Consider the following 25,937-nt stretch of genomic DNA (forward strand, 5'->3'; position numbering starts at 1 on the left):
GCCAGGTACCAGGCAACAAGAGAACATCCTTATAGTTCTGAGCTTGCCAGAATTGTTCAAACTGGCCAATCCTACACTGTTCGCTCTGCCTTCTTTGTGGAAATCTCACATAAAGGCTCTGGCCTTTGCCTTCTCCTTGCTCCTGTCATCTGCCTCTTGACCATCCTCACATTTCCTTTGTGGCCCTGTTCCCTTCTCTCAGGTGTGGCATGATCCCTTCTCTCAGGAAATGTAAGTAATAAATTATTCTTCTAGTGCAACTGGACTTTCTGTATCATCACACAGATATACCTCTCTAAATTAAATACTAGGTGTAATTTCAGATCAGAGGTGTCTGTGTAGAACCTATCCAGCCATTCTGGTTGGACAAGCCTGAATACCAAACAGATTCTAGCAGATGCCTGACAGAGCAACAGAGGCATACATACCCAGGGAAGTAGGTAAGAGGTATAACGAGTGACTGAAATTAAACTGTCAAGTTGCACCTGCAGGAAGCAGGCCAAAAGCCTGTTTAAATTAGTCATAGCACAGTGAGGCCCAGAGGATTTAGGCTTGATGCAGAGGAGATGGTTAATTCAGAACCTCTGCACTACAACCTGATTTGTGGGCCCAGCCCTTCCCTGGATGCCTGTGCTTTGTTTTTGTTCTAGTCACAATGAGTTTTCAGAAAACTCTGTCCAAGCCTCACACCTAATTCAACAGATATTTTTTGAGCAGTGACCTCATTCCTGGTGCTGTATCAGTACTGTCCTACGATAATGAACAAGGTGGAAAAGAGCTCTGTCTTTGAGATGTTTAACAAAGGATGACTATAAAAATTTAATCTCTAATGAAAGCAAGTAATTTGAATATGTAATAGAAGAATTTTGTCCTCAAGTTGACTTCTTATTGTAATTTTAAAAATAATTACATAGAGAAGAACCAAACACATAAGCAATGCTAGAAACCACTAAAGAAGAATACACTATTTTAATGTCAGTAAACCCCGTCATTGGCATAAGAAGGGTTATGTTATATTAGCAGGGCAGTGAAAAATTTGTTGTTTTTATCATCAATTATCACGTTTTTACTAACACTGACTTACAGCAGAAGTGGCAAACCTTTTTTGTAAAGGGCCAGATAGTAAATATTCTGCTTTTTGGTGGGCAACTCTATTATTGTATCCCAAAACCAGAAATAGACAAGATGTAAACTTATGGATGTGGCCAAGTTCCAATAAAACTTTATTTACAAGTGGACAAGATTAGGCCCATAGCTTGCTGACCTGTGCCTTTGAAGTCTTTTAGACAATAGTGACAACACTGATATTTAGAACTCAGCTTGGCCTATCTAAGAACACGTTATCCTATCATTCTGAATTCAACAGAAAGCTTCATTTTATTGTTCACTGCTCTTGGAAATGATACATTGTATAACTTTTCATTTTTTAAAAAAACTGTTTACTGAATATCTGTTAAGCATAAAACTTATGTAATTATCATGAATAAATAAAAATTTTCATTTTTAGGCAGATATTTTTAGAAAATATCTTAATATTCTTAGGGATATTTCCTTAAGAAAAGTATAGGTTACAAATTATCAAAGTTTGGATAAGACAGTGATATCTCTAGGTTTGGCATAGCAGCAGAATTAAGGGAAGATTTTATGAAGGATGTGGCATAAAGGTTGGAGCACATTTTTTATTTATACATACAGCTGGTCCTTCCATATAACTTGTTCTATCCCAAATACTGGTATGCAAGAGGCACTTGGAAATGTATTGAAGGAAGACAACTGAAGCAATAGACACAGTTAGAGGCTCTAAAGTAATTGTTCCACAGAAAACAACTACTTCCAGCTCTTCTTATTGTCCTTTGAGCTCATTAATTTTATTTTTCCTATTTAAGTTTCACATTTCTGAGTTTTACATACCTAAAATAAAAGTTAATTTGTGTGGTATTTTTATTGAGTGAAGAAGTGCTTAGAAAATAATTCTCCATGAATATTTTTGTTTCTTCACAGTCCAGAGGCAGTTGGTGTATCTATTAAAGGATGACTTAAAGACAAACATGACTTGGATGTTAGGTAGCACACTGCTCCAGAGAGTAGTTCAACTCTTATCCCTACTGGAATCACTTGTTTACAGTACAGAGTAGCGATCACTCACCCCACCCTCTAGAGTAAAGGTAAGAAGGATGAGATGTCTCTCATTTTGTTTCTCTCTCTCTCCCACCTTTGTCTCTCGCATGCACCCATGCAGAATAGAATGATACACCAGCTGCTCCATATATGTTCCAAGTCTTACTTTAGGGTTCATCTGCTGTGAGGCAATGCTACTGCATGCGAGAGTGAACATCATTTATTGCATTAACCCATGAAAACTGAAGCATGGGAAACGGATGCTAAGGCAATCTGTCAGTAATAAATGGTCTGTTCTCTGATCCAGAGGCATCTTCTTTCCTGCTAGAAATTACATATATATGAAATAATGATACTTGAAATTACATATATATATACATACATAAGTATGAAATAATTTTTGTACATTATGAAGAAATTCTGTAAGAGGACAGAGGGCTGATGGGAATAGATAGCAGACAGATTGTCCAAACTGTATGGTCAATTGGGCAATATATGGGACTTTGTTTCCTTTTCAGTGTTTCAAGGGATACAATCACAGCTGCCAGGAGGTTATAAATCTTTTATGAAAGTACAAAGTTTGAGTTCATTCACCCTTCTCTAAATCATTGTAATAGAGTATTGTGGTTCCAAAATAATTAAAAAGCACAAATAAAAACCTATCAATAAATCACAGGTGCACACTTAAATCCTCATACACAACAATGTTATCTCTCCTAAATGAGCTTTAACCTGTCAACTTCTCCCTTTCTGAGAGTGGTCCAGCATTTCCAAGTTTTCTAAAGGAATATCTATGGAATCCAGGACAAACATAGTGTTACCTTTGACCATAGAAGAAATGGTGATGAGTGGTTGTATTCTGGATATTTGAATGTAGTACCAACATAGTTTCTTTATGGATCAGGTATAGGGTATAACAGGAAGAAGGATGTTATAAGTGATTCCATGATAATTCTTTTTCTTCACTTCCCACTTCCCACTTCTTCACTACTTTTTCTGAACAATTCAGTGAAAAATTTATTTGGTAGACAAAAGTAAAAAATTGTGGGAAGGGAGTCATGGTGACAAAACATGGAGATCCAGAGCCTAAGCAGGGTGAAGAAGTTGTGCTCACAAAAGGGGAGGCCATGTAGGAAAACAGAGTATAAACCTGGACCGGAAGGCATTGCCAGAGAGGGGAGGCCCAGCATGGGGAGTCAGAGGGCAAGCAGAGTGAAGAGGAAATTCAGCGATAGAGGCCATGTACTACAAGATATTGGAGCCCAAAAAGATGGGTGAGAAGGCATCCATACAGATGAGGAGGTTATGGCACAGATGATGGATGGAATTATATACAGAAAAATTAAACAAGTACATATTCAAAGCAAATGGAAGCCACATTCTTTCACTGTTAGAGAAGGAAGATTCAAACATTGAAAAGTGTGATAACTAAAGTAATTGCTGTGCTATTGGATTGGAATTAGCAATATTGGTGTGAACTCATAATTTGCAATATACATAAATTAGATAGATGATGTGTTCTAAATAGATAATGGTAGACACATAGATAGATGGATATAGAGGTGAGTAGATGCATCTACTGAGAGGGATGCATGAATATGAGCAGGAATATCCCAAAAGTCATAAACAAATCTACCACTCAGGCCTTGACTTCTTCAAAATATTATTTTTCAATAAATGAAACAAAAGTGCCTTAGAGAAATGGATAATTCTAGGGATAAGAGAGGTAAAGGATAAAATAAGCTTAAGATACATTCTTGTGCCTGAAAGCAATGAAGTGTTCAAAAATAGATGGATATATTGTCAAAGGGAGCTTCCACTGGCCAAGACTGAAACAATGGAGTATCAAAATAAATAATAAAGCATGGAAATCCACTGAATAAAATGAAAAACATGAATAGAGAGATATAAATAAATAAATGAATGTTTTAAATTTTGATGAGAAACAGGATAGATTCAAAGTATCTTCCACATATACATCTACAATACATATTTATGCTATATAATATATAAATACACATGCAAATACATCTATAATACATATACATAATATATAGAATATAACAATACATGTATAACATATAAACATATTAAATATAAAGAAATATAACAAATATAAGTAACAAATATGGGACATAAGCGATAACAAATAATAATATACAATATTAATACAGATATAAATAAAACATACAGTATAACTGTAGTTAAAATATTGTTCTGCTATTACCTCTATAGTTCAGTCTCAACAGAGAAGCTGGATTTGGTCACTCCTCTGCTCAAAAGCCTTCTCTATGTTCTCCATTCTATTCCAAGGTTGAAAAAAATGTTCTTACAATGGATTACAAGGGCCTACCCAAACCTATTGCTCTCATTACATCTCCTATTTATTTTTGCCTTGTTCAATCATCTTGCTGAAGAAGCCAGATCAACTCCTAATTTCCAACTGCTGTGCTTCCTCTTCCTCTTTGCCTCAAATAATCTTACTCCAGTTATCTTCCTGGCTCCTTCCCTCTCTTCCTTCACATCTCTGCTGAAATAACTATCCCCAGCAAGACCTCACTAACAAACCTTTTAAAATTGAAGGTGTTCAATATCTTCTAGTATTTCTTGTTGCTTTTCTTTAAATTGTTTTTCCCTTAGCATCGCATATTTACTAAGTCTTTCATGGGAGTATAACCTCAATGAGGTCACAGATTTCTAACTTTTTTTTTTTCCTGGTACAATATAACTAGGGCCTAAGACAGTGTGTCTCACAAAGGAAGTACAAACTAGTATTTATTGAATAAAGAATATTTTCCAGATTAAATGGGATAAAGTTTCTTATGTGTAAAATATATTCAAAATATTAAAAACAGCTTTCTGTCTAATCTCCCTTCTTTATTAAACTATAAACCAAGGGATCATGTATTATTCATTTGTTTTCCCCACAAAACCATTGTCATTAGAGTCACATTGTAGCATTCAATGAATGTGTATTTTAATTGATTGATCAATCAATCAATAAATTCCTAAATTAATGACTTGATGAAAGACAAGTCTGAATTCTGTAACATTTAATAAGTTTGCCTAGCTGTGTTTTCTTATTTAGTTCTTATCTCCCTGATACATATGGTATCAGTGAGTGTCCAGAGATTTTTCCTGCAATTGACAGTTAATAATAATTTCATTGATACAAAAAATAAATCATTCTTTTTGCTTCCTTCCTTACTTCTTTCTTCCTTGCTTCTTTTTTAGTTACTTTCTCTCTGCCTTATTTAATTTTCAGTCCCTTAGATCCCTTTCTTAGACAGATCGTCTTCAACTTATGATGGCTTGATTTAAGATTTTTCAACTTTACGATGGTGCAAAAGAGATACATGTTCAATAGAAACCATACTTTGAATTTTGATATTTTCTTGGGCTAGTGATATATGGTGCTATAGTCTTGCCTGATGGGGGTCAGTGGCAGCGAGCCTCAGTTCCCAGTCAGTCACACAATCACAAGGGTAAACAGCTGACATTCTACCGTGTACTATGTTACCAGTATTCAGTTTATTAAATATTGTATTCTGTTTTTGCATCCCATAATGTCTAGAAAATGCCCATCTGTGTATAGTATTCAATACTTTATTATCAAATAAACTTTGTGTTAGATGATTTTGCCCAGCTGTATGCTAATGTAAGTGTTCTGAGCATGTTTAAGGTAGGCTAGGCTAAGCTATGTTGTTAGGTAAGTTCGGTTAAATGCATTTTTGACTTACAGTATTTTCAACTTATAATGGATTTCTTGGGACATAACCCCTCAAGAAGCATCTGTGCTAAGTGATTTGATTTATAAATTTTATTAATTTTTTTAGTCCGGTTCATTTTGTTTATGAAATAGAATAGGCAAATATGTTTTTATTCAGCCGTATTAAAAATGGAAAATAAGTTAAAAATTTAAAATTTAAATTCTGAAAACATTTTGAGTTGGGTATTTTGGATTTATATACTGAGATGGAGTTCGGTGCACGATATATTTATAGAGATTGACACCCTGGAAGGAAGAGGGGGAAAGAAGTAGAATTGGACAAAGGCACAAGTTGAACTGTGGTGCAGCCCTACAAGACCTCAGCCAACTTAGCAGGGAGCTCTGGAGGGAATACTGCTGAGTGTGAGCTAGCATGAGGAAACAGCATGACAGAGCCACACACATAAAATCACTTCTTAAAATAATAGTAGAATGTTCCTCTCTGTGGACCTTACTAGATATTTGCTGGAAAGTTCAGAGACATGTGGGGAACTAAAAAAGCTTCCTTCTTGGTGTAGACATGGAGGAAGAGAAAAAAGCTGAAATGGTGCACCCCACCTAGATAATTCTCCCCACATCTCCTCGATGGTACAAAGTATTTAAGCTGCTCATAATAAGGTAGCAAGTCCAATTGCCCTACTTCATCTGGGAAAAGGGTACAGGAAAAGAAAAATCCTAACCCTGGTGGAGGGGCAGGAAGCCAAACAGAATTCAGATAATTGGAAATCCTGCACCTCCAGAAGGAAACACAGTCACTGATAAAGTCCTGGGTTGGAGAACTAGTGATATATAGAGCCTGACTATGACTGAGGATGAAGTAATAGAACTGAAGATGAACAAGAAAACAGAGGATGACCCTGACTACCTACTCCAGGCCAGCAAGCATCAAATAACAAGTAACAACCTTCTAACATTGGGAGAAGAGGAAACACCATGGAGAGAGACCCTCACTGAGGCACAGGCTGATGCAGAAAAAATCTGAAGCTGAGGGTGGAAAATGAGTGTTAGAACAATCTTCCAGCAAGCTAGATTTCACCCTAAGCATCAAATAACATGAGAGACAGATTAAGCTAGTGAGGCACTGAGAGTAATAATAGCAGCAAAACACAAAGCCAGCTCGAATCTCCACAAGATTTTCTCACCCCTTCCAAACTAAAAGCCCATCAGAATAAGACACCTGCCCCTTACAAGCATAAATATTCTTTACCATGGTTTTTACTGTTCTACATGTGTTGACTGGCTTTCAACCAAAAATTATGTGTCACATAAAAACGTTAAAAAAATTAATAACCTACTGTCAAGAGACAAAAAAAATCAGCAGAATCAAAGTCATATATGACCCAGATGTTGAAACTGTCTGGCAGAGAATTGAAATTAGCTATGATTAAAATATTAAAGGTTTTAGTGGAAAAGGTAGATAGCAGGATGAATAAATGGAAAATTTCAACAGAGATATAAAAACTATCAGAGAGAATCACAAAGAAATGTCAGAAGTTAATAGTAAGACCCTCAAACAGTAATAGAGGTGAAAAATGTCTTTAATGAGCTCATCAGCAGACTTTACATAGCTGAGGAAAGATCATTGAACTCAAAGACAGGTCAATAGAAATTATTCAAAATAAAACCAAAGAGAAAAAAATAGTACAAAACCAGAACAGAGAACAAAGGATCTGTAAGATAATATCAAACAATTTAACATTTGTATAATTTAAATCTCAGAAGAAGAAAGGAGATAAAATAGGGCAGAAATATTAAGAAAAATTGATAAAGATACTTTTCTAAAAATAAGGAAAGATTCTAATCCCCCAGAGCTAGGAACCTTGGAGAACACCCATCAGGATAAATATCTTCTCCCAACATAACTAGGTATATCATACTCAAACTGACATCATCTAAAGATAAAAAGAAAGCATTAAAGGTTAACAAAAGACAAATTACACAAAATAAGTGATAGTGTTTCAACAGATATCTCATCAGAAACTATAGACAGCACTAGACTATAGAGTAAAACCTGTGTACTAAAAAAAGAAGAAAAATTTAATGAGAAATACTTTTTCAGTAAAAAAACAATGCAAACACCACCACAACTGCTACCATGAACATCATCAATATCAAAAACAAAACGAATAATTTGCTTCTTGCATAAACATGTTACAAGAAAATGTTAGAATTTCTTCAGGAAAAAGAAATTTAGTACCAGACAAAAACTGAAAAAACTGAAGAATGCTAGATATAATAAAAAGCAAAGTAAATATAAAGCTCACATACTTATAATTTTAAAGGCCATTGACTATGTAAAGCAAATATGATAGCAATATGTTTATTTCCTATGCAAAAGTAAAAGTAAAATGTTCCATATATAAAAGTAAAATGCTGCAATCCATAGACAACCAATATGTGTTTTTAAAGTGACCGGAATGACAGCAAGCTATTTAGATAAAAGGAAATAATAAAAAGTACTCATTGCAAAACAAGGCAAAAAGAGAGAAGGCGATAATAAAGGGACATACCTCTTTGTTGTTGTTAGATTCAATCTAAACATATAAAATTAGATTAAACATAAATGAGTTAAACATACAAGTTAAAGTCTGTGATTGTTTGGATAAAAAAATTAAGACTCAATTATATACTGTAAGCATAAGATAGCTGTAAACATAAAGACAGGATAATTAGGAGATTAATTTTGTGAGAATTCCAGTCTCTAAAATTTTCTACTTAGAAATTTAATTTTCTGAAAATAATAGTTCAAATATCAGAATACAAGACACATAAAAAGCATTTTTAAAAAACTCATCTTTCGAAAATTTTCTCCCATGTTGTAGGTTGCCTGTTCACTCTGATGGTAGTTTCTTTTGCTGTGCAGAAGCTCTTTAGTTTAATTAGATCCCATTTGTCAATTTTGGCTTTTGTTGCCATTGCTTTTGGTGTTTTGGACATGAAGTCCTTGCCCACGCCTATGTCCTGAATGGTAATGCCTAGGTTTTCTTCTAGGGTTTTTATGGTTTTAGGTCTAATGTTTAAATCTTTAATCCATCTTGAATTGATTTTTGTATAAGGTGTAAGGAAGGGATCCAGTTTCATCTTTCTACATATGGCTAGCCAGTTTTCCCAGCACCATTTATTAAATAGGGAATCCTTTCCCCATTGCTTGTTTTTCTCAGGTTTGTCAAAGATCAGATAGTTGTAGATATGCGGCATTATTTCTGAGGGCTCTGTTCTGTTCCATTGATCTATATCTCTGTTTTGGTACCAGTACCATGCTGTTTTGGTTACTGTAGCCTTGTAGTATAGTTTGAAGTCAGGTAGTGTGATGCCTCCAGCTTTGTTCTTTTGGCTTAGGATTGACTTGGCGATGCGGGCTCTTTTTTGGTTCCATATGAACTTTAAAGTAGTTTTTTCCAATTCTGTGAAGAAAGTCATTGGTAGCTTGATGGGGATGGCATTGAATCTGTAAATTACCTTGGGCAGTATGGCCAAATTTTCGCAACCTACTCATCTGACAAAGGGCTAATATCCAGAATCTACAATGAACTCAAACAAATTTACAAGAAAAAAACAAACAACCCCATCAAAAAGTGGGCGAAGGACATGAACAGACACTTCTCAAAAGAAGACATTTATGCAGCCAAAAAACACATGAAAAAATGCTCATCATCACTGGCCATCAGAGAAATGCAAATCAAAACCACTATGAGATATCATCTCACACCAGTTAGAATGGCAATCATTAAAAAGTCAGGAAACAACAGGTGCTGGAGAGGATGTGGAGAAATAGGAACACTTTTACACTGTTGGTGGGACTGTCAACTAGTTCAACCATTGTGGAAGTCAGTGTGGCGATTCCTCAGGGATCTAGAACTAGAAATACCATTTGACCCAGCCATCCCATTACTGGGTATATACCCAAAGGATTATAAATCATGCTGCTATAAAGACACATGCACACATATGTTTATTGCGGCATTATTCACAATAGCAAAGACTTGGAACCAACCCAAATGTCCAACAATGATAGACTGGATTAAGAAAATGTGGCACATATACACCATGGAATACTATGCAGCCATAAAAAATGATGAGTTCATGTCCTTTGTAGGGACATGGATGAAATTGGAAACCATCATTCTCAGTAAACTATGGCAAGAACAAAAAACCAAACACCGCATATTCTCACGCATAGGTGGGAATTGAACAATGAGATCACAAGGACACAGGAAGGGGAATATCACACTCTGGGGACTGTGGTGGGGTCGGGGGAGGGGGGAGGGATAGCATTGGGAGATATACCTAATGCTAGATGACACGTTAGTGGGTGCAGCGCACCAGCATGGCACATGTATACATATGTAACTAACCTGCACAATGTGCACATGTACCCTAAAACTTAAAGTATAATAAAAAAAAAATTAAAAAAAAATAAAAAAAATAAAAATAAAAAACTCATCTTTCATGGATTTTTAGGCTATATGTCCTATAAATGTAACTCTCATTATAAAGTTTAAAAAATAATTTGTCCAAACAAATAATTCACTTCATAATTTTTCATTATTTGATTTGAACCTCAGGTGTGGATGGGCATCTGTGAACAGTTTGGACATAATTATTCAGTTTGCATATTCCTCCTGAAAACAGTCCATAGATTCTCTGAATAAAGTGGGGCATTACGGTCGATTTTTCTAGTCTGTGACTATATGAGTGTTAGTTCTTCTCCACAGCTCATTGGAGCCAGTGTGGTGTGCACACCAAACATAGGGAAACTAATTCAGAGGCTACATTCTACCAGAACAAACGTATCTCCAGGGCATTTGTGTTTTGAAAATGATGCGTCATTTTTGGGCTGTGAGCCCATAACTCATAAACTGATGTGGACTCTAGAACTTTGGGCAGAAATGATGAACCACATGCACATATATATATCAGGGGAAGAATAAACACAATGCACAGAGAGAAGTGAAAATGAATTTTCATGAAGCTCGAGAAATATAAAGAGTATTTTATTTTGGTTCCTGATGATTTTTCAGCTTTTGGTTATAATATCCAGTGAAAACTATTTGCTCTTTCATCCTGTTGTTTCCATGCAATATTATTGTAATCTTCGCATAAATTCTCTCCTTTTGTTTCCTAATTTGCTTTACTTATTCACTTCATGAAACTAAATTACTGTAATCTTTAATTTAATTTAATTACTAATTTAGATACTGCCAACTACCATTTCCAATACAAAAAGAACAATTCCTATTGTCTTAAAGCCATAAGTAGAAAACACATACTGTTGACCTTGAACAACATGGGGTCAGGGTTGCTAGACCCCCTGCAGTCAAAACCTATGTGTAACTTTTGACTCCCCCAAGCTTAATACTATAGCCTATTGTTGACCAGAAGCCTTATCAATAACATGAACGGTTGATTAACACATATTTTGTATCTTATATGTGTATGTTTTATATGGTGTATTTTTATAATAAAGTAAGCTGAAGAAAAAAATGTTATTAAGAAAATCACAAAGAAGAGAAAATATATTTGCTATTCGTTAAGTGGAAGCGGATCATCTTAAGGTCTTCTTCCTCATCGTCTTCATGTTGAGTAGGTTGAGGAGAAAGAGGAAGAAGAGGTATTAGTCTTTCTGTCTCAGAGATGACTAAGGTGGAAGAAAATCTGCATACAAGTGAACCCATGCAGTTCAAACCTGTGTTGTTTAAGACTCAACTGAATATTACTTTGTAATGAGACACACTGAAATTTATCATATGTTTATTACAGTGCAAGTACTAAAGTACCATTTATTTTCTTATATCTATCCTTGAATATACACCAAGCAGAGATAATCTTACGAATAGTTTGGCAGCAGCAATAATGGTCCCCAAAAGATATCTATGCCTAAATACCCAGAACACATGGTATGTTAACTTACATAGCGAAAAAAACTTTGCAGATGTGATTAAGTTAAATATTGTAGGGGGAGATTATCCTGGATAATTTGGGTTGGCCAATTATAATCATGGTAGTCCTTATAAGTGAAAAATGAGAGGCAATAAAGTCAGAATTAGAGAAAAATCTGAAGATGTTTTCTACTGGCTTTGAGGAAAGAAATCATAAGCCAAAGAATGATCATGGCCTCTAGAGGCCACAGAAAGCAAGAGAATTGATTCTTCTCTCAAGCCTCCAGCAGTATCTTAACCTCATCAACTTTTTGATTTTCATCCACTGAACCCATTTTAGACTTAGGATCTCCAGAACTGTAATATATTGAATGTGTGTTGTTTTAAGCTTCCAAGTGAGTGTTAAGTTGTTATAGCAGCGAAAGGAAACTAATACAAATGTTTAAAAGTCATTAGGTTTCTATTAACAGTGAAGTTGCTATAATTTGATATGAGTGTTTCATGTTCTTTGATTCCTAGAGTTGAACGCTATAGTAATAACTGATTTTTGATTCAACACAGTTATCTTATTGGTATTTTGTTCATCAAACGTGTACTCTGTGTAACAATTACTATATGGTATGTGTTACATTGGATGCTCACTACCTTCTGATTATTGAACTAGTAATTTTTTATAATCAAAATCTTGTGGACTCTTCAATAATGTTTTTTCAATAAGTATGTTGAACTACAGGCAAATTTTCTAAGTTGCTTAGGTTTAACCAGCTGACACCACGTGGAAAATGGCAGAACATTAATGCAAACTCGTCTTTCTGACATCAACACTTGTATTATTTTACCACACTATTTACTGTCAGGCTCAATTTACCCTTTTATTTTTTCCAAATAGTTTGTTAGCATATTTTGCCTGTGCTTAGGGCTCTCTGTAAACCTGTGTAAACAAGCTTTGTAATAGCTATTGAAAGAAAGTTACCAAGAAGACAAGCAAGAGGAAGAGCTACCTTTTTGTCAGTGGACACTGTCTCTTCCTAATGGAGAGAAATTTTGCCCTCTGTGACTCTGAAGTACTCCAAAAAAATATGTGTTAAAAAAGCAGATATTCATAACATAATTTTTAGAACTTTGAGATAACTGATGATACAGGCAGAAGGCAGCCAAATGCCGCCCAGGTCATTGTGCACAAGGGACTCGCCTAACATACCCATGGTGAAAAATTCCATCCCTTAACTTATGCTCAGTAAGGGAAATAAATCAATGTGGAGTGGCTTAGACTAAGGGCCCGCATATGCACTGGGAGAATAAGTGGAGCCACCAGGAATTCTTGCTTTATGTTGGGGAGGAGCTGGGCCTTTTCAGCTTGTGTGTGGTGTTCCGGTATTCAGTTTTGTGAGGTGGAAAACCTGCGGGCAGGACCCCTCTCTTTTTTGAGAGTTTTCTTTTCACCTAATAAATCCACTCTCCTAACCCTTCAATGTGTCTGCATGCCTAACTCTTCCTGGTCGTGAGACAAGAACCCAGATTTTAGCTGAACTAAGGTGCAAAAAATCCTGCATCACTGACCATCTCTCAAAATATTGATAAATCAGTAGTATGTTCTAAACTAACAGTTCATTTTTAAGTTTTAGAAGCCAAGTTCATCATACAAATTTTTATTTAAAATGTGCCTTTTGACTCATGACCATAAAATCTATTCCTCCAAATTTCATGAAATTAATTTAGGCAGAATAACACCCCAAGGCCCAATTAGGTTTTACGACTTTATTAATTTATCAGCACTTGTGAGTTATCCAATTGAATCAACATTGGATAGTAAGCATTTTACTTATTATTGATGTTAACTCAATAATTATTAATTGTGCAAATTAACAGCAACATCAGTTTTAATTTTAAAATACAGGCATAAATAATGACAAAATTACCTAGACATGAAAAGCCAAGGACAAATTTTTGTGAGTATTGTTCCTCAATAAATTACCTTTGTGGAGTTTTATTTCATTATAGATTTCTAGAAGTGTTTAATTTGAAAAGTGAAGGATAAATTCCAAAATTGCTAGAAAAAGTTTTCTTGCAACTGTTAACTTCATTAAAGTTTTCCATATGGTGAGAACAATGTTTCTAGAAAAATGGTAAATTTATTTAAATGTTGTAGGAAAAATTTCTATTTTGATCCCAAATGTTGAAATTGTTTACAACAAAATTCAACGTAATTAGTATCAAATTAATATATATTCATATACATTCTGTAATAAAACATAAAGTGTTTTGCTCTTTTAAATTATATATTATGCCTTAAAATTCAAATTGATGAGATTCATACGTAACTAAAAGGAACAAAAGATGATAAATACAGTGATGATTAAATAAAAGAAAACCTGTAAACAATGAAGTGCCCTTTTTTCACATTTTAGATTGTTGCAAATTAAGATAACTGTGTGCAAGTTAGTTTGCTAATACTATTTTTTGATATCTATGTAGATGTATAAATCTTAATATACAGTTTGCATTGTTTTGTCATTTGTTTTTGTTTTGTCAAGCACATAAACTATAGCATAGTCTTTAATTGCCACTTGGCAATACCTGATCCATGAACTCATTTTTAGTATTTTACTGTGTCATTATTCCAACAAGTTAAGCTAACAAAAGTACACATTAAATGACAATTTCCATTGCCTCAAAGTGGAAAAATATAAGTCCATTCAATAGAAAGTTATGTATCATTTATGAGAATGATATGTGTAAATATTTGCCAACTTACTAATATCTCAAAGATACATGGTTAATGAAAAAATTATAGCACAGAGCAGTGCCATATATATAATTTATTTTATGCAAACACAAAAGTTTTTATCAAATTATTTATCCTCTTATTTACGTTCATTAATGCATATAAGATTTTTTGTAAGAGTGAGCCCAAAACATAAAAAATATTTATTAGTCAAGAATCAACGTATGAAGGTTAGGAGGTGATGACGGAGATGGTAAGTTTTATTTGCATTTAATAACTTTCTGTAGCAATTAAATTTGTGGTATCATATATAGAATATATTTTTGAAATAAGTAAACTTATAGTCATAAAATGAAATGTTATTAAAATACGGGGAAAAAGTATTTAGTAATGGTATGAATTTTGAGTAGAAGAAGTGAGGGTGGATTGATCCGTCAATCTGTAAGAAGGAAAGATACAGAATTCTCGAGCACTTCTGGTCCTGGGGCCTTTAAAAGATGGGCTCCCTCCTTCAACCGCTCTAACTCCATTTATGTTTTGCAGGTGGCATGCAATAGTGAAGCTGTGAAGACTGGTGGAACCACAAATAGAAGGGTCCTAAGTCCCAGAATTACCATGGAAGAAAGTCTCCTGCAAATTGGGTAAACATCATGCATAATTATGTGAGCCAGGAAAAGAATCCTAATGAGTTATGCCATTAACATTTGAAGGTTTATTTATTAAAACAGCAAATTTTGCGCTAAGTAATACACACAACTGTTAAATTTAATGTACAATATATTCATTTTAATTTTGACTCATACCTTATTTCTAAATTTTGCTTTAGGGAATAGAAATTATACACATGCACACATACCACATACACACACATATTTTATTCCCTCAATAGAGAAAGGAGTGAATGATATCTGGAGAATCTAATGAAAGTAACTTTCAAGTTTATTATTATGTTCTTTCTTTTGTGTTTTCTATAAATAATTTGTAAATTTTGGAGAAATGTAACCTTTTCTAAGACCAGAATTTTGAGGGTTTTTTATTTTTGTTTTTATGCGTGCAATCAGGAGAACTGGATGAGGAAAGTCACAAAACAGAATTTATTGTGTGGTTCTGTTAGTCATGGGGAGTGTCATTGTTTTGCTTATTATATTTTTCATTTAAAAATAAGGAATGAAGTAGAATAAAATAAAATAAAACTTGTCCAGGAAAGAAGTAAAAATTCCCATTATCTCTTTGCCAGATTAACATGCTGTGATATTGATCAGCTGTATTTGCACAAGAACCCTGTAGAAAAGTACATGCCAAGTCAGGAAGGGTCTATACTATAAGCCCATTATATGAAACCTATCATAAACCCGCAAGAATTATTGTTAAAACCTTGAAACAGATAACTATAGGAACTTAACATTTCCTTCTTTAAACAGCCTATCATAATAATTTATAATTCTGATTCCAAGGCTATCCCGTCAGCTAAGATATCAACACAACATATAGAATTTACAGAAAATAAATTATCTGTGTCTCTTACCTGTATGCTTATGCACTTTGTGCAGGAAATTTACAGCAAGCAAGACTATGTTCTGAAAGTTGGAAAAGTCACCGATGAAGTGGGCTTTATCTCCACTAACAAGTATTCGTGGTGCCAGGTCCTTCTGGAATTCATTCATTCTAATCAAAGTTGTAGGAAAGCGTGTTGGAGCTAAATAATCCACAGATAAAACCCAGTTTCTTTTACGATCTGCTTCTTGCTTAAAATAATATTTTAACCTAATAGAAATGTAGGGTAAAAGTATGCATTTAAAATTAGTCTACTCAGAGTTTTGCCAATTCAATTTTCAAAACGGATAATCTGTCCAAAAGCTACCTTATTCTACTTTTTAGAATACAAATTGTATAAACTTGCTGTTGATTTTAGCCCCTAGGTTTGAAAATGTGAAGAGACATTACTAGAATTTTAAACTTGGAAATTACCATCCCAGAAATTTTGTAATTTTTAGCCAAATGTTTTTCCCTTTTCAAGCATGTTATCCTTGCATGTACTCTGAAATGTGACCAAATACTATTTTAAAATGTGAAGATGAAGATCAAAGGTGATGAGGCAAAACTTCTGCTGGATTTGGACATCTCTTGAAGAAGAGATGATTTTTATGTCAGGTGACCACTGAAAATGAAATAAATTAGAATAGCTTTTCTTGATTTTTAGGTGGTTTGGTATTTTTTTCCTCATGAATTATGCTAGAAAGCCAGCTCCTCTCATCTTATTGAGGAATAAATTTTAATTTTATGTTTGTAGTGAACAGTTTTACATCTATACAATCTGCACCACCTGTTCCAATCAATCTTCTGAGCATGTAAACAGCTTGCTGTTTTGCAGCATGCTTGTTCCCTCCAAAATGATTTCCATCTCTCATTTTGCTCATTATGTCCTATGTCCTTCAAGGCCTATTATGGAAATTATATGGTTTGTTAGACTTCCCTTGGTGTTACTCTACGTATTACAGACATAGGGGGCTAGTTGTTATTGATTCAAAAAGCAATTAGAACATATCCTCTGGTCAACACTGTGAAAGAAACACACTTGTATATATGTGGTTCCCATGGAGTTATGGGAGTACAGAGTATGAAATTATGAAGCCTGTCCTGGATTACAGAAAAATTGGTTAGAACTTCACACTCTTATCAAAGCATCATAACCAATTCTTAGGTTTAAGAAAGAGAAGATTTGAGGAACAAAATATAAAAAATAAAAACAGTTGTTACTGTCTTTTAAACTTTAGCCATTCTAGTGGTTGTAAAGTAGTAGCTCATTGTGGTTTTGATTTATATGTCCTTAATGACTAATGATTTCGACCAATGATTTTGAATATCTATGTACTTACTGGCCATTTGCATATCTTCTTTGGAGAAATACTTGTTCAAATCTCCTTTTTCTATTTAAATTTTTTTATATCACTGAGTTGTAAGAGTTTTAAAATATATTTTAAATACAAGTCCCTTATCAGATATATGATTTGTAAATATTTTCTCCCATCCTGTGTACTATCCTTAACTTTTTCAATAGTAACTTTTGCAGCACCAAATTTTTAAACACTTCATGAAGTTCATTCTATTTTTTTGTCCTTTGTGCTTTTAGTGTCACATCTTAGAAAAAACATGTCTAACCCTAAGTCAAAAAATTTTTTCTAAAAGTTTTATAGTTCTAGCTCTAACATTTAGGTTTATAATGCATTTTAAGTTAATTTTGTTGTGTCGTAGAAGACAAACTTCATTCATTAGCATATGGATTTTTAGAAGACTAATCCATTTCCATTAAAGACTAATCTTACCCACTGAATTGTCTTGCCCCCTTGTTAAAAATCAAGTGACCACAAATCTAAGCGTTTATATCTGGTCTCTCAATTTTATTCCATTAATCTATGTCTCTATTATTATGCCCTTACCACAGTTGATTACTTGTATGTCTTGATTACTGTAGTTTTGTACTAAGAGATTAATAGGGATTGCATAGAATCTGTGGATCAATTTAGGGAGAATTTCCAACTTAACAATATTAAGTCTTCCAATCCATGAACACAGAAAGTCTTCCACTTTAAATGGATCTGTAATTTCTTTCAACAATATCTCATATTTTTTCAGGGTATCTAAGTTTTGAATTTCTTTCTGTTAAATTTATTCCTGTGATTTTTTTCCTCTTGATACTGTTAAAAATGTATCCGTTTTCTTAGTTTTATTTTAGAATTTTTTTTTCATTGTAGTGTATAGAAATACAATTGATTTCTGTATGTTGATCTTTCATTCTGCTGGGTCAATGAACTCATTTATTAACTCCAATAGTTTTTTAGTGGATTTCTTTGAGAAACAGAGAAAGTATTATTTTATCTTTTCCAACTTGGATGCTTTTTTATCTTTTCTTACCTAATCTCCCTCAGTAGACCCTTCCATACAATGCTGAGTGGCAACAGTGGAGAATCTTGTCTTGTTTCTCATCTTACAGGGGAAAAATTCAGTGTTGCACCCTTATCATTGTTAGCTGGGGCTTTCTACATGCCCTTTATCAAGGTGAGACACTGCTCTATTCCTACGTTTTTGAGTGTTTTTGTTTTTTAATCATAAAAATGTGTTGGGTTTTGTCAAAGGCTTTTGCCGTGTCTACGTGATGATCATGTGGTTTTCGTGCTTTATTCTTTTAATATGTATACTATACATATTGATTATCAGATGCTAAACCAACATGCATTCTTGGAATGAATCCTATTGGTGATGGTTTATAATCATTTTTATATATAGTTTGATTCTGTTTACCAATATTGTGTTGAGAGTTTTTACATCTATATTCACAAGAAATGTAGGTCTGTAGAATTTTTTTCTTGTGATGCCTTTGTCTTATTTTGATATGATATTTGGTATAATGTTACCATTTTGCTATTTGTTCTTTTGTCTTATGTCTTTGCTTCTATTTTCCTTTGTTACTGCCTTCTTTTGTGGTAAACAAATACTTTCTAGTGTAACTTTTTAATTACCTTGTGGTTTATTTTACTATATACATTTTAGTCTGCTTTGCTATTGCTCTTAGCTGATGGGATTACAACTACCACCTCAACTTGAAACAACGTATTTCAGATTAATACCAACTTCTTTCAATAGTTTACATAAACCTTGCTACAATATAGTACCACTCCTGTTTCTCTCTCGTGCTATTATAGTCATGCTAATTACATCGTTCTACATTATAAACCCATCAGAACAATTTTATAATTATTGCTTTATGCAGTTGTATTTCAAATAAAATAGAGAAGAAAAGTGACATGATACTATATATTTACAATCTATTTTATATTTACCTATGTAACTCCTTTGTTAGTACTGTTTATTTCATCATGTGAATTTGAGTTACCATTTAGCGTTCTTTCATTTCAGCCTGAAAAACATCTTTTATTATTTCTTGAAAGTATGTCTGCTAATAAATTCTTTCAGTATTTGTTCATCTGCAAATATCTTAATTTCTCCATTTTTAAAGAATAGTTTTACAGGATATATAATTCTTCATTGACAGTCTTTTCCTTACAGCACTTCCAGTAGGTCTCCTGGCTTCCATGGTTTCTGATGAGAAATCAACTCCTAAACTTACTGAGGATTCCTTGTACATGAGGGTCATTTTTCTCTTTCTGCTTATCAGATTCTCTCTTTGTCTTTGGACACTTTGACTACAATTTGTCTAAGTGTGGCTCTTGTTGAGTTTATCTTATTTAGAGTTCACTGAGCTTCTTGGATATATAGATTAATGTTTCTAAATTAAGTTTGAAAAGTTTCTTGCTATTTTTTTTCAAATATTATTTCTTCCCTTTTTTCTCTACCCTTACTTCTGGGAATCTCATTATGTATATCTCATGTGCTTGATGATTTCTTATGGATCTGTGAAACTCTGTTTATTTTTCGTCATTCTTTTTTTCTTTCTGTGTCTCTAACTGTATAATCTCAATTTACCTTTATTCAAGTTCAGTGATTCTTTTCTCCTGCTAGCTTAAATCTGCTTTTGCGTATCACCCCCTTGGATTATTCATTTAGCTATTACACTTTTCAATTTCTGAATTTCTATTTTTTTCTATAGATTATATCTGTTTAATGATATTCTCTATCTGGTAAGATGTTGTAAGTTTTCATGCTTTTTTTCTAATTCCTTAGACATGGTTTCTTTTCTTTCTTTCTTTTTTTTAAAAGCATTTTTAGTCATGGTATCTTGTTATATTGCCCAGGTTGGCCTCAAACTCCTAGGCTCATGTGATTCTCCTGCCTCAGGTTCCTGAGGCAGGGATTACAGGCATGAACTATTACACCCAAGCTATTTCTATATGTATGTTCATATTAGCAAATTTAAAAATTTTATCTAGTAAGTCCATCATCTGGTCCCACTCAGGAAAACTTTCAATTGACTAGTGTGTGTGTGTGTGTGTGTGTGTGCGCGCGCTCGCGCGCGCGCACACACACACATACACGTGTGCAAAATAGTTTTCCAGTTCTTCACGTTTCTTTTATCTTTTTCCTAACACTTCCCATTTCATTTCATTTCAGAAAATATAAAGTAGCAACTCTGAAAATCAGATACTCCCTCTCACCAGGATTTGTTGCTTGGTTCATTTGTCATTGTTTGCTTAGTAACTTAGTAACTTGCCTGGACTACTTCTACATATGCACTGTATATGGCCTTCAAGGCCTTTTGCATCCTTGCCTTAGCCTTTACTTTTCACTTGTTCAGGGCCTCAAGGTCAGCCAGAGGTGGGAGATTTGAGCTTTCTCAGTTCTTGCCTAGCTTTGTCCACAGTCCTGCTCATGTGAGTGGCCTAATAGATCCCCAGGAATATTTCAGAGCTTTCCAAGTTCTCTATGGACATATTATATCACAGATTGCCCTTTTAAGCTTTTAGCTCATCTCTTGTTTCCCCCAGCCGCTATGGCAGTCTCAGGTAGCTGAGGTTTAAAAAAAATTGATGCTAATTGTATCTTTTTACAAATACCTTGGGTATAAGGGTTTTCCCACAGAATGAGTAGTTCAAATAACTACCACATCCTGAGAAGGGAATTCTTCTGGGTAGCTGTAAGACAGGTTAAAAAGTGACTCTAAATTGCTTACAGATAGGGCTTTTAAAGAAGCTCCAAACACAAATATGCCCTTTTGATGGCTGCAAAGCTACAGGAGTTGCAAGGAGCTGGTTTTCAAGGCTATTGCAGAGCTGGGTAAAGTGGAGTGAGATAAGCCAACTTAAAATACCACAGACCATGTTCTTACCTACATTCATCATTTCTTTGAATAAACGTTTTTGACAGTTTTTGATTGATATAAACCATTGGCTAATTCCAATAATTATTAAAATGTTTATTTTGATAATTTTTGTTAGTGCTTTGTTGCTTTTATGGAAGAGTGAATTTAGGGATATCCCCACTCTGCTATTATGGAAGCACCAACCAGATTAAAAAAATATATTAATAGATGAAGAAATGGAATCACAAGAAACAATTATCCAATTTTCTATAATATGCCAATCCAGGATCTAAGACTAGATGTTCTGGTTCCAGAGTCTTATACTTAACTGCTACCTTATTTCCTCTTAAAATAATAGAAGCTATTTTGTATTGATTTCTTATTATACTGTAGGTGTTATGTTATAAATGCTATATATATTGCTCAAAACAACCTCACAAGTTAGGTGCTGCTAGTATTCCCATTTTACAACTGGAAAACTAATAAGAGATTTCACATGTCCGATAATTCAAGATTCATTATGCAGATTTGCCTGACCCTTAATGGAAATAATCTTAAATTCTATAAAATTATTTTATATCAAAGAATGATTAATATTTTAATAAATATCCATATAAGGCCTTCTAAGATTATAAACCACAATACTCATTATCAGGATTTTGATATTTTTATAGTATTAACATGCAAAATACCTTCCTTCCATTAAGGGATACCTTTGGAAGGATTCTCCTTGTCAGGACAACTGTTTTTCAGTGAAGTAAAATTCTGGTGATATTTTAAGCAAAACTAATACTAAATAACTTCATACACTTATTCATATTTCAAAAATATTACTATTACATAAATTTTAGTATATATTCTTAAGTATGAAAATGACAGAGGATCTTTCATGTAAAGTTGGGCATTTGAATACACGCATTTCTTTTTTCCCCCTTACCATATCAGAAGCAATAATACTGTGAGTACATTTGGAGAGGCAGCTATAACATTTTGGAAATCAAACGGATGAGTAGCAAAGGATTTAGCAGATCCAAGAAGTCTGAATCCTAAACTAGCAATGGGGAAAGCTAACACTGTATACTGTGTAGAATTCTCCCAACAATTGTGTGTTTGATTACAAGCACTTCTGGAAATTGGAGTGAAAGGTTTATTCCTGAAAACGGGAACTGTTGCTTGAAAGGCTGATAAAGAAATAGGCAGATTCAAAGATTACCTCTGATCCTTCACACAGTGATGAGTTAATTATCGACAAGACAAAGGAGAGAGTTTCTGAACTCTAGTAAACTGAGCGCAAATGAAGGCAACAGTACACCATGCTGAAAACAGAGATCTTAAGTGAAGACCTGCATACTGGATACTCAGACCTCCAATATTCTTCTCTCACTAGACTCTTAAAATGCTGCAAGCCACGCCTTCTCTCTTGAAGCATAACATGGAAAATTTCTGGTAAATTCAACCAGCTTGAGAAGATAGGCATACACTTAATAAAACAGGAATTAACCAATTAAATTGCCCAGTCATGTGCTCTGCTGTACAGCAGTAAGCAAGCATTAGTCATATCCACAGAGTTTCAAATTAGCTCCTTACTGCCCCAATTTTAAATACCTATATATGACAAAGATTACAAGGTAGTTAAGAATGGTATCTTGAATAAGAGATACCATGAATAAGACAAATTACACAAAGCAAATGAAAAAGCCACTTAGAATATACTGTAGGATAAGCAACCGTGTTTAATATTATAATATTGGCCGTGTGCAGTGGCTCATGCCTGTAATCCCAGCACTTTGGGAGGCCGAGGTGGGTGGATCACGAGGTCAGGAGTTCAAGACAAGCCTGGCCAAGATGGTGAAACCCCGTCTCTACTAAAAATACAAAAATTACACTGCACTCCAGCCTGGGTGACAGAGCGAGACTCCGTCTCAAAAAAAAAAAAAAAATTCTAATATTCGCAGAGAGGTGAGAAAATTTATTGCAAAGAAAAAGCAGTGAGAAGATACAATAAGAGGATTCATTGAAGATCAACTTCGTTTATCTTAACTCAATGAAATCATAGAAATAGTATAGTAAGTAACCCTCAGCAAAGAGATTAGAAGACAAAGTGGAGGAAATTAGATAGGAAGTGCAAAAAGCAAAAATGTGGAAAATAAGATAAATAAAAACTATAAAAATTAGATCTATTGTGCAGGAGATTCAACATAGAAATAATAGGAATTCCAATAATGAAACAGAGATAATGGAGTTTTAGATAGACTATGTGCTCCACAAAATGAATGAAAAATAACATAGCAAGTCACAACTGCTTGAAATTTAAGAAACTTTGTGGAAAAAAGCACCTTACAATATTTCAGAAAGATAAAAATTATACCCAAACATTATGATCAACATACAGAATAATTCAGACTTTGGAGCTCAAAGAGACTGTCTCTGACCCTTTTGGTAGGAAGCAATAAATTCAGTGTTGACTTTTTATTTTATAAAACTAAAACAGTTTTATTATGGAAAAGTTGCTATTTTCTAAAGAAGTTTAGTTTTGTATGTGACTGGGAAAATCCACAAATGAAAAAACAGTATTTTTGAAACTATTTTCTATGATTCTAATGACTTGCTCTCAGTTGCCATCTTGATGTTGACAATTCTCACTCTACCAATAAGTTGTTATGATGGTTATGATCCTAATTTATCAGACAGATATACCAAGGGGATGAACTCTTCCATCATCTCATAAAAATATCAGGCCGTGAAGCAACATAAAGAGAGAAAACATGCAAGGCAATGTGTCTCCCGTCTCTGATTTATTCATCTCAATTGGATATGAGGTCAGTGGGAAATATAACAGTAGATATTTAACAAGAACTCTTCAAAAATATATGCCTCTGTTTATATATGTTTTTAAACGAGTCACCCATTCTTTCTTTCTTTCTACCCCATGTCTCACTCTGGATGGCAGAGTTGTATTTACTACATTCATTATAAAACACAGAGTATTTTGACATTGTTTTTATCTATCTGGTGTAATAAAAAAGATGTGTCCTAAATATTTTCTTCCAAATATGTGGTAAACAAACCGTATTCTTTGATAAAAATGATGTAGAGATCCTGTATTACTTGTCACTACATCCTTTTGGTTTACGGACATGCCAGTTCATGTTAAGACATATCTTTAAAAAAAAAACCCTCTCCTTCTTCTTCTGGTTAAATTTTGTTTGATTGTTTTTAATTTTTCTACGCTTCATGGTACAAACCTATTTTTCACATTTTTACCTGCCTACTTAAAAAATATGTTTTGAACTTTATCCAGTAAAACGTTTTCTTGTCAGTTTTCCTTTTATCATAGTACTGCCCACGGTTGACATCTTGGTAAATAAGTAAATTGAAAAAGATTTCAATAGAAAACATAGCATATGATGGAAAGATTGTTACCACATTGAAACAAAATCACTTTGGGCTTATTCTTACCTATTGTGAAAAATTTTATGAGCAGCCTTCAGGGTTGAGACATGTGCAGTCCCTAAGTACTTCAACAGGTCATCAGAGCTACTAGATGGTGACTTTACATGCTATCCAAGAAGGAAAATGTTATTAATATTAAACAATTATTACCATCTCTCTTCCTGAAAATCAATTGTTTATAAATATAAATTTTTCAACATTCTAAATGAGAGGAGAAAATTGTTTGTAAGAGTTAGGATATGAAGAATATAATGCCTAATGCTTCGTGGAGAGCTTAATATTAGTTATACTAATTACAAGCAACACTGAATGCATTTGAAAGGAATAAACCAAGTAAGGGTTGGTTTTTGAAATACTCATAATTTTATATTGTTCAGAACTAGAGCTTTAGTATTCCATTTGTTTATTTGTTTTTCTCCTATCATGCAATGAGCTTTCTATAAAGCAGTAAGAGTCAGAAATGGGGACAGGAGTGGGAAAAGTAACAAAATTTGATCTAACCACATACAATATAATGAGTAAGTTCTCTAAAGGGAAACTTTATCTTTGGTCATTTACTCTTCCACCCATGACATTTGACTTTGAACATCAATATTTGATTCTGATTGTCAAATGATCATTTCAAGCAACTCATATGTAATTGCCTATGAAGACAGTTGAAATAAGTTGATCAAATTCATCACAATCTATTCCATAATTATATTTCTATATAAGTTATTAATCCATTGACCCAAAGTTAGGATTAACCAGAACATTTTCTACAACATTAAGCCATAATTTCTCTGTGTTCACATGTCTGTGTATAATTTATTTGATGTGAGAAGAGTGCATAGGACTGCCTCAATACATATTGGAAACAAAGGTGCTAATAAGATACGATGTCATGTGGCAATCTACTCATATTAATACTGCTAGCATCATAATACACATTTTCATATTAGGAATTATTTTTTGGGAACATATTGTTCAATGCTTTAAAATTATACATAAAGTATTATACAAAATTATCTGGCTACCTTCAAAGGTTATTAATAAAAATATTAGAGAAAAACTTGGTAAAATTCATGCCACATTTGTATTGTTTCTGGAAAGGATGAATTACAGCTAGAAACATTATAACAAAAATTCATCTGATCCTTAGATGGTGGTAGAAGGACGACATTGTCTGATGATATCCCCATTATGCCAGAGTCGATCACAGCAAGATACAGCAGAAAGATAATAATTAAAGTCTGTATA

The 25,937-nt window shown here is 33.8% G+C and overlaps 1 long non-coding RNA gene and 1 pseudogene across 2 annotated transcripts; one reads left to right on the forward strand and one right to left on the reverse strand.

Annotated features, from left to right (window-relative positions):
• The first annotated feature begins 69 nt into the window (after positions 1–69).
• On the forward strand, positions 70–24,058 carry LOC105377996 (uncharacterized). Of its 2 annotated transcripts, XR_942978.2 has the most exons (4): positions 70–231; positions 2,002–2,165; positions 15,035–15,132; positions 23,933–24,058. It is a non-coding gene; the product is annotated as an uncharacterized LOC105377996 (long non-coding RNA). The 2 variants fall into 2 exon arrangements; XR_942979.2 differs by lacking the exon at positions 2,002–2,165.
• On the reverse strand, positions 16,039–25,937 carry LOC100420743 (chromosome 6 open reading frame 58 pseudogene; annotated as a pseudogene).

Source organism: Homo sapiens, chromosome 6 (genome assembly GCF_000001405.40).
Source record: "Homo sapiens chromosome 6, GRCh38.p14 Primary Assembly".
In the NCBI taxonomy this organism is placed as follows: Eukaryota; Metazoa; Chordata; class Mammalia; order Primates; family Hominidae; genus Homo; species Homo sapiens.